Here is a 15,621-nt window from a genome sequence, read left to right on the forward strand (position 1 = left end):
AGCAATACTAAGCAAAAGAATACGTCTGGAGGCATCATATTACTCGACTTTGAATTATACCACAAGGCTATAGTTGCCAAAGCAGCATGGTACTGGTATAAAAATAGGCAGGTAAACCAATAGAACAGAATAGAGAACCCATAAATAAAACCGAATATTTACAGCTAACTAATCTTCGACAAAGCATGCAAAAACATAAACTGGGGAAAGAATACTCTATTCAATAAATTGTGCTGGGATAACTGGCAAGCCATATGTAGAAGAATGAAACTGGATTCTTATCCCTCACCTTACACAAAAATTAACTCAAGATGGATCAAAAACTTAATCTGAATTTGTATGGCCTGAAACCATAAAAAATCTAGAACATAACATCAGAAAAACTCTTCTAGACATTGGCTTAGGCAAAGAATTCATAACAAAGAATTCATAACCAAGAACCCAAAAGCAAATGCAACAAAATCAAAAATAAATAAATGAGACCTCATTAAACTAAAAAGCTTCTGCACAGAAAAAGAAATAATCAGCAGAGTAAACAGACAACCCACAGAGTAGGAGAAAATATTCATAAACCATGCATCCCACAAATGACGAATAACCAGAATCTACAAGGAACTCAAATTAGCAAGAGAAAAGCAAATAATCCCATCAAAATGAGGGCAAAGAACATGAATAGGTAATTCTCAAAAGAAGATATACAAACAGCCAACAAACATACAAAAAATGTTCAACATTACTAATTATCAGGGAAATGCAAATTAAAACCCAATGAGATATCTCCTCACTCCTGCAAGAATGGCCGTAATTTAAAACATCAAAAAATAATAGATGTTGGCGTGGATGTGGTTATGAGAACCCTTTAACACTGCTGGTGGGAATGTAAACTAGTACAACCACTATGGAAAACAGTGTGGAGATTCCTTAAAGAACCAAAAGAAGAATTACCATTTGATCTAGCAATGCCATTACTGGCTACCCAAAGGAAAAGAAGTCATTATATGAAAAGGACACATGCACATGCATGTTTATAGCAGCACAATTTGCAGTTGCAAAAATATGGAATCAACCTAAATTCCCATCAACTGAGTGGAAAAGAAAATGTGGAATACTACTCAGTCATAAAACAGAATGAAGTAATGGCTTTTGCAGCAACTCCGATGGAGGTGGAGGCCACTATTCTAAGTGAAGTAACTCAGGAATGAAAAACCAAATATCGTATGTTCTCATTTATAAGTGGGAGCTAAGCTATAAGAATGCAAAGGCGTAAGAATAATATGATGGACTTCGGGGACTTGGCAGGAAAGGGTAGAAGTGGGGTGAGGGATAAAAGACTACATATTGGATGTACACTGCTCGCATGACAGGTACACCAAAATCTCAGAAATCACCACTAAACAATTTATTCATGTAAAAAACAAAAAAAAATAAAAACACCTAATCCCCAAAAACTACTCATTAAAATTTTTTTTACAAAAAGAAAATACTGAGGCATTAATATCTGCTGAGAACATGCCTAAGTAATAACTTTCAAGACTTGTATAAATACCCCAGCTCCCTCTGCCTTTGGATGCAGTAATTCTGAGATGAGTACTTTGTACCATTTCCCAAAATCTCCTGTGTGCTTAAACTACAGTTGCCCACAGTGATCGCTCTCCTTTTATTCACTACCCTTTTTCCCTGTTTTATTTCCCTTCACTTCCCTACTAGTGTTGCCTGAACTTCCCATAAAAACTTCTTACCCTCAAATTCATGGTGCAAGACGTGCTTCAGGAGAAACTCAAACTAAGTCAGGACCTAGCAGTTTTGAGTTCCTATTTTGTGATATATGCTGCATTATTTAATCCCTACAACAACCTTCTGAGAAAAATGATTGTAAAGATTAGAATAATATAGTATATGATTTAATTAAATATGTGGAAATGGAGTACAGCAAGTCTACGGCATGCAAAGCACAGATTCTCACCCATTCTGCCTGAGGCCAAAGCCCGGGTCCTGTGGCTTTGCATGTGGCCCTGTTCATAGACTGAGGGAAAGTAAGCACCTCCTTGCAGCCTCTACCTCATTCCAGAAGAAGGACTTGAACCCCTAACCCACAAAAACATTGAAAATCTTTTTCTTTTGCCACTTCAAATTCCTTACGGAACTGCATAATATTCATAAACAACTATATTTATTCTATACCTACTGCCTAATTTTCAATAAGCCAGTCCTAATTTCCTTCAGGCCTTAGACCTCTATAGGCCAGTGCTTATTTTCATGGCTGATTAATGGTTCTGATTAGTCCTCGAAGCAGGAAATCCAATATCCCTTAGGGGAACCCTAAAGATGCAGATGACCATGAATTCAAGGAAGCCTATTCACAACAAAAATCAATGGAGAAAGGAGGCAATGTTAATGCAGACAACATTCTACCAGTTTCTAAATGCAAGTCCTTAGACAGAGAGAGTGGAGGGAGGGGAGGGGATAACAGAGAATGTATTCAGAATACCACATTGCAGTTTCATCACTCTAAAAGCCAGCTTTAACAACTCCCTTCCCAATGTGGAAATTTAAATCTTCCTTTTTGTGAATTTTGACTGGTTTACAGCCCTGAAAGAAAACTTTACCTCTCTCAGAGATTACCTCTTGGATTGAATATGTGTCCAGGAGTGGAGAATGCTTGATTTCAGAGAAACTACATCACAAACACAGCACAAGCACCATTAGAATAATTTAAAGATAATAAACTTAAAAAACTGTGGAAATGTGAAAACTACACCAATTTTTATAACATGTAGCTTATCTGACTGCAGGTATCACTTTTAAGATGATCATAAAGTTTTCTAAAAGGTTTTTGATAGAGTAGATATTTTTCAGTCCAACAAATGTAACTCTTCCTTTGTCATTATTTATTTTGTTGTTTAATTTTTTTATACATAGCAGGGCAATATTGCATCCCTTCCACTTCCTTCTGCCTATCCTTCCTTCTGAGCAACGTGAAGGAGTGGGAAGCAATGCAGATTTTTCAAGAAATAAGAGGGAGAGAGGCTTTCCTCAGTAACTGTCTCTTTCCTGTCCCATGTCTGACTCAGCCACAAAGGATAATACCTTCCTAACTTTACTTAATCTTCCTCAAGATCTATTCAAGCTGCTGAAGTCACGCAAGCTGAAGTCACAGTAACTGTACATAGCTTATGAATCAGAAAATTTTACATCTACATTTCAAAACATTGGCGAACAATTATCATTCTGTTTGGTGCCTGCCTCTGTGCTGGACAGTAGAATGGATACAAAATGATGATTTTTCCTTATATTTGAATAGTATGTTACATATAAATAGTTTTGAAATTGTGTCACCCATTCTCTGCAGTACCAGGGAATTCATGGGAAGGGGCAGGACATAGCGGCTAACAGCTATCTACTTCCACCTATGTCAAATGTTGTTACTTAGCTTTATGTATCTTTAATATAGTGGGTCATCAATTCACATAATAATGTTACAAGACAAATTTTTTTCCATTGGAAAACAAAGTGAAAGAATCAACTTAAATAAGATTGGGAGCTCTATATCACTCCAAGAAGTAATTTTTCTCTTCTTTCTCTTTCTCTTAAACACACACACACACACACACACACACACACACACACACACACATTGACTTCAGGACTATCTTGCAAATGGGACAGCATAGCAAAAAGAAAAACACTGTGTGTGCTACATAAAGTAATGTATGTAAAGCACTAGCATACTGCCTGGGGAAAAGTAGAAGTGTGATAGATGTTTGTGCCAGTAGGGGACATCTGTCGTTTCTGCCAGTCAGCCCCCATACTCCAAATAAGCCTTGGGGAACAACCCGGCCTCTATTCTCCACACATGTATTTGGGCAGGATTAACCCCGCTGCCAGTTCCAATAATGGGTCCTGATTGGCCTAGACCAACTGGCATATCCCATTCCCCTAAAAGTGATTGGCAACAGGCATATGACCTCATCAGAGCCAATGTGACTTTCACTGAGCCTTTGGAACACAGAAAGGACTCTTCCCAGATGGATTTGAAACTTGAAATATGGAGGATAGAACTGTTACTGCCACCTTTCCTCCAAATGAAGTCTGAGAAGAATGTTATTGCTTAGAGGAAAACAGAGCTAATAGATGGAAAGATGCCCAGGTCTTGATCACCTTAAGCCATGATTAAGCAGTATTTCTGGACCACTTCATTACCTAAGCTAATAAGATAGCTTTTTGGTTTCATCTACTTTAGACTCAGTTCTTTGTCACTTGCAATCTGGACTAGGTCCTAAGTAATACGGTGTATAAGTCCTCTCTTCCTCTTCCATGAACCTGACAACCTTATATAACCCTGACATTTATATGACTGCAGCAGAACATCCAGAATCCTAATATTATTGGTCTTATTGGTACTTCATACTTACATATGCATAGTGATAGACTTAATTGTTCATATTGGGTGTGCCTTTTGACCCTAAAATCTCTTTCCTAAAACAATAAATAAATATCACCTTTGTCTTTAAGTACATGAAATTATTTCAAAAAATACAAACAAGAACTAACATAAAAAACAAAGATGAGTGTAGGACTGACCCTTCCAAGTCTAAACCTAGAATTTTAGAGAGTCATGACATAGTCTACTAAAATCAGTAAACTTGGCAAAAAATTAATTTACATAAAATTCTAAGAACCCACGACTTCAGTTTCATGACAGATTTTAACAAGCTCATCAAAAATTTTATATCCAAATACACACTGCCCCCTATAAAGGCCATAATGCACTGTAACACTGCTGCCACTGTCCTAAATATTTGGAATTCACAGTCTAGTTGCACATTCATTTGAGTAAATTTTCAATGGTGAAGAACTTTTATTCTTGAAGTGAGGGTTTGATTTTTTGATATAAAATGTATTCAAAATCTTGTAAATAAGTTTGAATAAGCTGATTAATACCATTTTATTCAAAAATAATATAGAATAAGATTCATTTTTATGTGACTTTAAAATGACTTGTGAAAGACTCCAAACATATTTTAGATAATTGTAGTTAAATAAACTTCTCAAGATGGCTTTTTCAAAGGTAAATAATGCTTGGGTAAACATTTAAGATCTTTTATGCTTTCAAAAAATACCAGTCTCATTACTTTCAGCCTGGTCCATTGAACTTAAAATTTTTCCCTTTCAAGATATCAAGTTACAAAATAAACTTATGCAGAATTTGGCCCATAATCAAAGCTATTTATATCTTTAGTCCTTTGGTCATGCATGTTTTAAGAGTAATTTGAGGCTAAATCTAATGCAATTTCACTAACAATTTCAATTTGTGATTATCCATTAAACAAAAAAATACCACCCTTAGTATTTTCTTCCTGAATATTTAGATGATATGAAAACTAAAACTAAGCCTAAACATGAATTTTAGGCTTATTTCTGAGAATAGGCTAATTGAGTGAAAATGCAAATGCACACACTAAGGCCATGCATTCTGCATGCAAAAAAAGATTGAATATACACTCTGTTTAAAGAAGTTTAATAAACTGACATTAATATATATAATAGATAACTTCATTTCTGAATGAAAGGAAGCAAGTAATGAAGAAGAAAAGCCAGCTTTCCTTTAAATTGTTCTATGCAACTTCTGCTATACCTGTCAGGTTCAGCCATAAGTAGAGACTGGCATCTCTACCACAATATACAAGTTTTTAGCTTTGATTTAATGGTGGAATGGAGAGAGAGAAGACAAGTAAGAACATTTCTCAGCAACCCTTCCAAAACCGCTAAACCTGATTCTACACTCAATCCATGCCAGGTGGACATTCAAAGGCAGTAGATGCAGCAACATTCTGGCAAACAGACTTAACCTCAACAACTCAGCCCAAGCATCTCCCGTAAGGAGACACACACTGTTCAGCCCCAAACCTGACCCTGCCCAAAGCCAAGCAAGAATATTGTGTAGTGTATACCTACCAGTGAAGAATTATCTATCTGACTGTTTGGATTGTTGGTATATTGATTGCTTTATTATTATTATTATTATTATCATTATTATTATTATTATACTTTAAGTTCTGGGGTACATATGAAGAATGTGCAGGTTTGTTACATAAGTATACACATGCCATGGTGGTTTGCTGCACCCATCAACCCGTCATCTACATTAGGTATTCCTCCTAATGCTATCCCTCCCCTAGCCCCCCACCCCCAACAGGCCCCAGTGTGTGATGTTCCCTTGCCTGTGTCCATGTGTTCTCATTGTTCAACTCCCACTTATGAGTGAGAACATGTGGTGTTTGGTTTTCCGTTCTTGTGTTAGTTCGCTGAGAATGATGGTTTCCATCTTCATGCATGTCCCCGCAAAGGACATGAACTCATTCTTTTTTATGGCTGCATAGTATTCCATGGCATATATGTGCCACATTTTCTCTATCCAGTCAATCATTGATGGGCATTTGGGTTGGTTCCAAGTCTTTGCTATTGTGAAGAGTGCCACAATAAACATATGTGTGCATGGGTCTTTATAGCTTTTTCTAAAATCAGTAACTATTAAAATGATTTTGGGTGGATTGGAATCTGCATGCTGAGAAGCCACCAGTGAAAATGCCACATAATTTTATTATAATACTTAAGACAAAAAGATAATAATTTTTTCTTTGGAATTTACCCATATTGAATGCCAAATAAATGTGTCAGTAGGATATACATCATTAAATTATGTGAGTCATCGAAAGCTCTTATAAAAAATAAAGAATGAAGACAGTAAACCCCTAGTTTTATAAAGGAATACAATATTTTTAAAAGTTTTATTTCAACTAATTTTTTACCGTCTTTGATAAGTGGTGTGGTGTCAGTTTGTTTAAAGTACACAAGTAATTTGGAAGGAGATCTAGTCTCAGAAATCATATTGGTACATACTTAATGTATCTAAATGTATATTAACATAGTCTATGAAGATAAAAGTAAGAATTTGGCATGTCGTGTTTCAAAGATTGGAATGAAAACCTTTTCTTCCCACATTATTTCCTAAAAATTTCAGTCTCAAATTGTTCAACTAGATCCAAATAATTTTAACTTTTTGACTGAAGTTTTTTAAGCATACTAAAAGTTTAGAAAATAGTAAAAGTCGCTCTTATATCTGTTACCCAGCATCCAAAACTATCAACATGTGAATATTTGTTTCATCTATACCCCAGCCCACACACACATTGGATTTTCAAACTGTTTCATTAATAAATACTTGAAAATATGCATGCCTAAGAGATAAGGCCCTGACTCTTTTTTTTTTTTTAATACTTTAAGTTCTTGGGTACATGTGCAGAACGTGCAGGTTTGTTACATAGGTACGCATGTGCCATGGTGGTTTGCTGCGCCCATCAACCTGTCATCTGCATTAGGTATTTCTCCAAATGCTATCCCTCCCCTAGCACCCCCACCCGCCAACAGGCCCCGGTGTGTGATGTTCCCCTCCCTATGTCCATGTTTTCTCATTGTTTGACTCCCACTTATGAGTGAGAACACGTGGTGTTTGGTTTTCTGTTCTTGTGTTAGTTTGCTGAGAGTGATGGTTTCCAGCTTCATCCATGTCCCTGCAAAGGACACGAACTCATCCTTTTCTACAGCTGCATAGTATTCCATGGTGTATATGTGCCACATTTGCTTTATCCAGCCTGACTCATTTTTTTAAACAGGGATTTGACATGATTGTCACACCTAAAAGAGTAATAACAGCTTCCTAGTATTATCTAATATCTAATTCAAATTCAGATGTCTCTGTCTCATAAATGTTTTTTGCTTAGTTTGAATCGGAATCTAAATGAGGTTAATACATTGCATTTAGTTGACTTATTCCTTAGACCTCCTGTGATAACACAATCTTCCTTGTTCTTCTTTTTACCCTCTCCTTCAACTATTTATTAGTTTAAAAAATAGGGTCACTTTCCCTAGAAAGTTTCACACATCCCAGTTTTGGCTGAATACACACCCGCCATGTTGTTAGTACAGTATGTCTGTCTATCCCCTATATTTCCTGATAACTGGCAGGAAGAGCCAGATCCTTAATCAGGTTCAAACTCAACTTTTTAGCAAGAATGCTTCATAGAACGTGCAGTGTACGCCCTCCACATCACAACAAGAGATTCATAATAAATGGCTTTCTCTTTTTGTGACTGAAGCTTGATCTGTGAGCTTGGCTGTTGTCAGGCCTCTCCATTAGTTATAGTTTTCCATGAGTCTTCAACCTAAACTTTACAGCAGCCATTGATAATCGTTGCCTAGATCCATTACTTCCAGTCATTTTTAAATTAATATATGTATAGCATTTGATATCTTAGAACATACGTTCACATCCATTATCTCACTAGGTGTCTCATTTAATTATACTAGGCCTCTGTTCCAATAGCTACAACACAGAAATTATATTATTGACTTGCTCTATTTCAGCAAAGTTTTAAGACATTATAGAAATGTTTTCTTAAGGTAACTTATTTTTTTCAACGGCACCGCAAACTTCATTTACATCTCCTTAAGTTTATTTTTAGCATTCCCTATTTGCATGTTTACATTTTAATATTTTTAATTAAGACTTTAAACTTTGTATTGAAGTATAACTTTGAAATAGAAAAAGGCATAAATCCTAAGTGCATAGGGCAATGACTTTTTCCCATATAAATACATCTGTGTAACCACCACGCAGAAACAGAGAGAGAACATCTCCAGGATCCTAGAAAACTCCCAGACAAAACTACCCAAATGTAAACACTAATATAATCTCCACTACCACAAATTAATTTTGCCTGTTTTTGAGCATCATATAAATAGAGTCAAACAGTGGATACTCTTTTGTGTCTTGCTTTTTGTTTGATGTTATAATTGGAGGTTCATCCATGTTTTCACTTGCAGAAGTAGGTTTTTTCATTGCCATGCAGTACTCCAGTCTGTGCATATACCACAATTTATATATTCATACAGTAGCTTAATTTTCACTTTACAAAATTAAGTAAACTACTATTAATACCTGCTTCGTGTCCTCTTAGACTTTCACTTTCTAGTTTAGTTGCCTATTTTTTAATCTACACTAGCTGTCACTCTTTCTGGACTTGTGAAATATATTATTTGAAAATAAAATGAAGTGGTAGAATTTGTTGAAACTGAATATCAGTGGTAAAAGATAATTATCCTGTCTTTTAACTGACTAGTCCACTACTTGGGAAAAACTTACTTACATAGGTATAAAATTTAACAGGCTTAAGATATTGGCTATGAACTTACCATGTAATTCTTTCATTTCTTTGCCCACAAACATTCTCATCTATAAAATTAGTGAAATGAAATGGTGTTACTTTCAAAAAAACCCCAATAATAGGTATAAAATTTAAAGATTCAATTATACAATATTACAAGAAAAAGTTTAATGTGACATTAAGACTAGCTAGGTATTTCAAGTATCAAATATTACCTCATTTATTCACCAGATTAATAGTCATTGAGAACCTGCTCAGCCAGGTGCTAAAAGGGAGTGGTGGTAATGTATAAATAATAATGGAGCACTTAGAATATACTGTACTAATTTTAGCTGCATCATTTCATTCAATCTGCAACTATGAAACTGATGCTACTATTAAACCCATTTTACATGTGAGGCGCAAAAAGACTAAGAAATTTGTTCAAGGTCTCATGACTAGCTATGAAATTTGTAATATGCTGTAAGAATGACTGGCAGATTAAACTCAGTGTGAATAATATTAATCTAAAATTGTTGTGAAAAGTGTCACTATGATCATTAGTAATATACACAAAACATTCATAAGGATGTGGATTGCAGTATGATACAAAAAAATGGAAATTACCCATATATCTAATAATAGCATTATTAATAAACTTTGGAAAACCCACAGGATAGAAGAGAAGTCTCTGACAGCTGTATTTTTAAGAGTATTTAACAAATGATAAAATGATTGTAGTGTATCCTTAAGTGAAAAAAATAAAGCAGGCCATAAAAGAAAAAATATGTACACTATAATACTGATTCTGATAAAGTGGTGTGGGTATGTGCGTGTTTATGGGTGTGTGGTAGGCATTTGCTGCTTTACACTACCCAATAGCCATCCCCCATCCCTCTTGATAACATTCCCCAACTTTCATCAGGTACCCAAGCGTTCCCTATGGGTTTATGTGCTCAGCAAGAAGTTGCTTCCTCACCCAGGTCCTAGGGTAAGCCTTATTTGGCCTGACAAGTCCCCACACTCGCTATTGGATCAGGGATGGGCACACAATCCAATTCAGACCAAGGAGATGCAAGATTTTTCAGGGAGCTTCTGGGAAGGAAAGAAAATAACTTCATAGCTCTTCAGAAAAAGCAACTAAAAGAGCCATCCTGCCTTCTGGTTAGCAGAGTATAAGAACATGCCACCTGGAACTACTACAGTCATTTCTGCTGTCATGAGAAAGCCAGCCTGAGGCCAATGCCAGTGCAAAGAGGAGACAAAGCTGAGAGAATCACAGAGAAGCAAAGCCAGAGTCCTGCTGTAGTCATGAACCCCTGGATTAAACCATGTCTACAGCTAGAGAGAGACCTTGCCCTGCTTGGTTCCACAAGCCAATAAATTCCTTTTTCTCCTTAAACCAGTGTGAGTGAGAGTTGTTACAACCTAGAGAATCTCAATTGTACAAACTGTGCATACAAAAAGATTGGAAATGCTTGGTATTTTTGTTATGCTTTTCTCTATTTTGCATATTTTCTACAATACACATGGCATGTTATCATCAGTAAGAACAATAAATACTATTTTAAATAGTCCATTCAAATGCTCCACGTTGAATATATTTCTTGATTATTTATATCTGAGCTCACCAAGCAATTAAAAAATCAGTCTGCTTCGCAGAACCTTAACATTTGAAATAATGATAATAATAGCACGCATTTATGTAAGACCTGATTGTTTTCAAAGCACTTTCACATTTGATAATTTGAGCAAATCTATGAATTAGGTAAGAGAGTGTGGCAGAGAACGCTTTGAGTTCACAAAAGCTCATTTTCTTGTACTCCTGGGCACAAAAATACACGATGTTTCCCAGCCTCCCTAGCAGTTGGCTAAGCTATGACCAAGTTCAGCCTAATGGACTATGAGCGAAATGAGGTGCACTGGTGCTAGGTCCAGCCTATAAAAAAAAAAAAACCTCCCATGAATGAATGACTTTCTCTCTCTCCCTCTCTCTCCCCATGTCTGCCAGTGAACTTATAAAGCCACAAGGTCTTAGAACTTAATAAAGCCACAAGATGGCCCTAAAACTTAGAAAAGCCATAAGATGGGAAACGCTTGGATCCCTAATTAACTAAGTAGAAGGCTGTGTGATAACCAGGAGCATCTGTGTTTGAGTCTGCAAGAAATGAGATGTTACTAAGCTGTATTAGAGTTCTCCAGAAAAACAGACCAAATAATGTGTGTGTGTGTGTGTGTGTGTGTGTGTGTGTGTATGTGTGTGTGTCTGTGCGTCTGCGTTTAGAGGGAGGAAGAGAGAGAGAGAGAGAGATTTATTATAGGTTTCGCAAGTCCAAAATCTGCAGGATGGTCCAGCAGGCTGGAGACTCAGGGAAGAGTTGCAGTTAGAGCCCAAAGGCTGTCTGTTGGCAGAATCCCCCTTTCCTCCTCCAGGAGGCCAGTCTTTTTTCTATTAAAATCATCAACTGAATGAATGAGTTCCTCCTACATTATGGAAGGTAATCTGCTTTGCTCAAAGTCTACTAATTTAAATGTTAATCTCATTAACATTCACAGAAACATCTAGAATAATATTTGATTGTGTGTTATTTATACTTTGGCCTTCACATAAACATCTGTAGTAATATTTGACTAAATATGTGGGTACCATAGCCTAGCTGAGTTGACACATAAAGTTAACTATCACGTAAGCCAGTGGGCACCACTTGCTGAGCTTGAGTGCAACTTCTGCAGAAGAATCTGGGTGCCAGGCTCTTGTGATGAATCCCATTCAATGTCCATTTTCACAGTCATCTCACTTAGTCAAGAATGTGTCCCACACTCCCAATCCCCTGGAAGAATGACAAGGACAGTCTTTTGATCCTCCTTACCGGATTTTCTACCATCATACATAGGTTTTCTGCTTTAGAGAGTTTTTCCTTGACTTTATGTGGTAAAACCACTCTATTTTCTCAGTTCACTTTTCTTCAAAATAGGATATTAGGGAGAATTGTCACATTTGTTTTTCTTGCTTCCTCCTTCCCTTCCTTCCTTTCTTTCTTCCTTCCTTTTTTTTTTTTTTTTTTTTGAGACAGGGACTTGCTCTTTCACAGAGGCTAGAGTGCATTGGTGTGATCACAAGTCACTGCTGCTTTGACCTCTGGGGCTCAAATGATCCTCCCTACTCAGCCTCCCAAGTAGCCAGTTAGGCAAGTGCATGCCACCATGCCTAACTAATTTTTTTTGTTGTTGTAGAGAAAGGGTCTTGCTACGTTGCGCAGGCTGGTCTCGAACACCTGCATGCAAGAGATCCTCCCTCCTCAGCCTCCCAAAGCACTGGGATTACAGGGTTTGAGCAATCACGCCTGGCCTGTCTTGTTTTTTAGTCATCTTCTTTCCTCCGTACTGCTTCTTGAAGACTAGAAGCAAAATAAGGAGTAACACCTCTCTATACACCAGAATCTTCCATTTTTTTCTTTCATCACTACTGTTTGAAGCTTATTAATAAAAAATAAACCCTTTTGTTTACTTGACTGCTGTTGGGAATTTAAGGCCAGACCCTTTACATTTTTTGTCCAAACATTAGGAGGGATACTCTGTGATCCTTCTCCACTCTGCCTTTTATATCCCTAGCATCAAACTGATTATATGCAAAGGAAACTCTTCACTATGGTTTCTACATGGTTTGTTTGTCCCCACTGAAACGCATGTTGAAATTTGATCCTCAGTGCAGCAGTGTTTGCAGGTGGGGCCTGATTGGAGGAGTTTGTGTCATGAGGGTGCTGGTCTCCTGGGTAGCTTGGTGCTGTTCTGCAGGTAGTGAGTGAGTTCCTGCTCCAGCAAGACTAGATTAGTTCCCACGAGAATGGGTTACTTCCCATAATAGTGGGTTTCCATAAAGTTGGGATGCCCCTCAGGTTTTGCCTCTTCACACATGTCCACTTCCTCTTTGACCTCTCACCATATTCTGACCCTTCACTGTAGTTTGACTCAGCACAAAAGCTGAGTAGATGTTGGCACCATAGCCCTGGTGCTTCCCAGCTTGCAAAATCATGAGCCAAATAAACCTCTCCTCTGTACAAATTACCTAGGCTCAGATATTCAGTTACAGCAACACAAAACAGACTAAGACTCTCCCCTACAAAAATGTGTTCAAAGAAATGTTCTGTATTGCAAAGCAGATTCACAATCTAATCTCCAATAAGAGTTTGGGCAGAAGATGATCAAATTTAGTGCCAGGGGCCATATACAAAGTCTTTCTAAGCCTAGAAGAAATTCTGAAAATTTCATCATTTAAATTTGATTTTTATTTCAATATATCTCCCTGATGACTACATTAAACCACCTCTCTGTACCACATGATGACACAATTGCTATTTAGAATGCTAAATACAATTTGATTAAAATTACAAGACTCGGGTAAGTTCCAAAAGAGCTATGTATTTGCTAAAAGGCCATTGATTTATATTGAAACTCAATGAAAATAATGTTATTTTTAGACAAGGGAGTAATATTGCCCTTAACTTACCTGTTTCTGTCTATCATTGCACAGTGCCTTATGTTAACTATTCCCTATAATAGCAGAAGCATGGGCCTGACGACCTCTCAAGGTCACCTCAAGCCTTTTGATTATATGAATTGTGTGCTGAAAATTACATGCTAAAATATCTACACAAAAGCTGTTATTTTCTTTCTACAACTGTCATCTTTAATGCTACCTTGGGTTTTATATTTAAGATGTATACTCATGTTTACTTGTTTCTAAAATGGTTTAAAAACTGTTACAGGCCATTCTCAACTTTCAATAGCAATTGAGGTAGATTTCACACAAGGTTAAACAAAACTGACTATGAATGTTGCATTTTGTATATGTGGTTATAGCTCTCCTTTGTTTTATTCTCTGTAAGCCAGAGAATCAAAGATAGCCATATCACACCCATTTTTTAAATTGTTATTTTTATATCTTTTCATAAGATACTAACACCATCATAAATTTCCTATAAAGCTAAAATCATCATAGTTTAATTTATTAAAACAGATTTTATCACATAATTTAGGTTACTATAATTAAGCTTTTGTAATAGTTACTCCTTTATCTACATGAAGTAGCCACCACAATTTTGAAAGTAAATATTTCACCAGCTGACACTCATTGAGTAATAACTGCCAGTTTTTGAGGCTCCAAATTGGCAAAATAAAATCAACATAGTTGACATGCTGATTCTAGTTATTCATTACTTTCATGTGCCCAGAATTTTGTGCCCAAAATTCTAGTTTATGATGTAAAGCTCAACTAAACTTTTAGAAGATCTCCTCATAAACACTGAGACCTTCTTTTTATACATATTTCTTTTCTCTGTTAGACAATAATTTACCCTTGATGAAACACTGAATATAGACATATCTCATTTTATTGTGTCACTTTATTGTACTCATAGATATTGCATTTTTTATAAATTGAAGACTTGTGGCAATCCTGGGTATAGCAAGTCTAGAGATAACATTTTTCCAATAGCATTGGCACATATTTATGTGTCTGTGTCACATTTTGGTAATTCTAACAATATTCTAACAATTCTAACAATATAAAAAGAAAAACTTTTTCTCCATTATTGTGTCTCTTATGGTGATCTGTAAACTCTGTTATTTGATCTTACTATTACAATTGTTTTGGGGCCCCATGAACCACACTTACATAAGATGGCAAACTCAACCAACAAATGTTGTGTGTTTTCTGACTCTTCCATCAAACAGCCACTCCTCCATCTTTCTCCCTCTTCTTGGGCCTCTCTGTTACCTGAGACACAACAATATTGAAATTAGGCCAATTAATAACCCTACAATGACCTCTAAGTGCTCAAGTGAAAAGAAGAGTCACAAATATCTCACTTTAAGTCAAAAGCTGGAAATGATAAAGCTTAGTGAGGAAACCATGTTGAAAGCCAACATGGGCTGAAAGCTAGGCCTCTTGCACCAAAGGGTTAGCCAAGTTGTAAATGCAAAGGAAAAGTTCTTGAAGGAAATCAAAAGTGCTACTCCAGTGAACACATGAATAATAAGAATGTGAAATAGCCTTATTGCTGATGTGGAGAAAGTTTTGATGGTCTGAATAGAAGATCAAACCAGCTACAACATTCCCTGAAACCAAGCCTAATTCAGAGCAAGGCCCTAACCCTCTTCAATTTTATGAAGGCAGAAGGAAATGAGGAAGCTGCCGAAGAAAAGTTGGAAACTAGCAGAGATTGGTCCATGAGGTTTAAGGAAAGAAGCCATCACTATAACATAAAAGAGCAAGGTGAAACAGTAAGTACTGATGTAGAAGCTGCAGCAAATCATCCAGAAGATCCATCTAAGATCATTAATAAAGGTGGCTACACTAAACAACAGATTTTCAAAGCAGACAAAACAGCCTCTATGGAAAGGAAATGCCATCTAGGAC

This window comes from Homo sapiens, chromosome 6 (genome assembly GCF_000001405.40).
Source record: "Homo sapiens chromosome 6, GRCh38.p14 Primary Assembly".
Classification (NCBI taxonomy): Eukaryota; Metazoa; Chordata; class Mammalia; order Primates; family Hominidae; genus Homo; species Homo sapiens.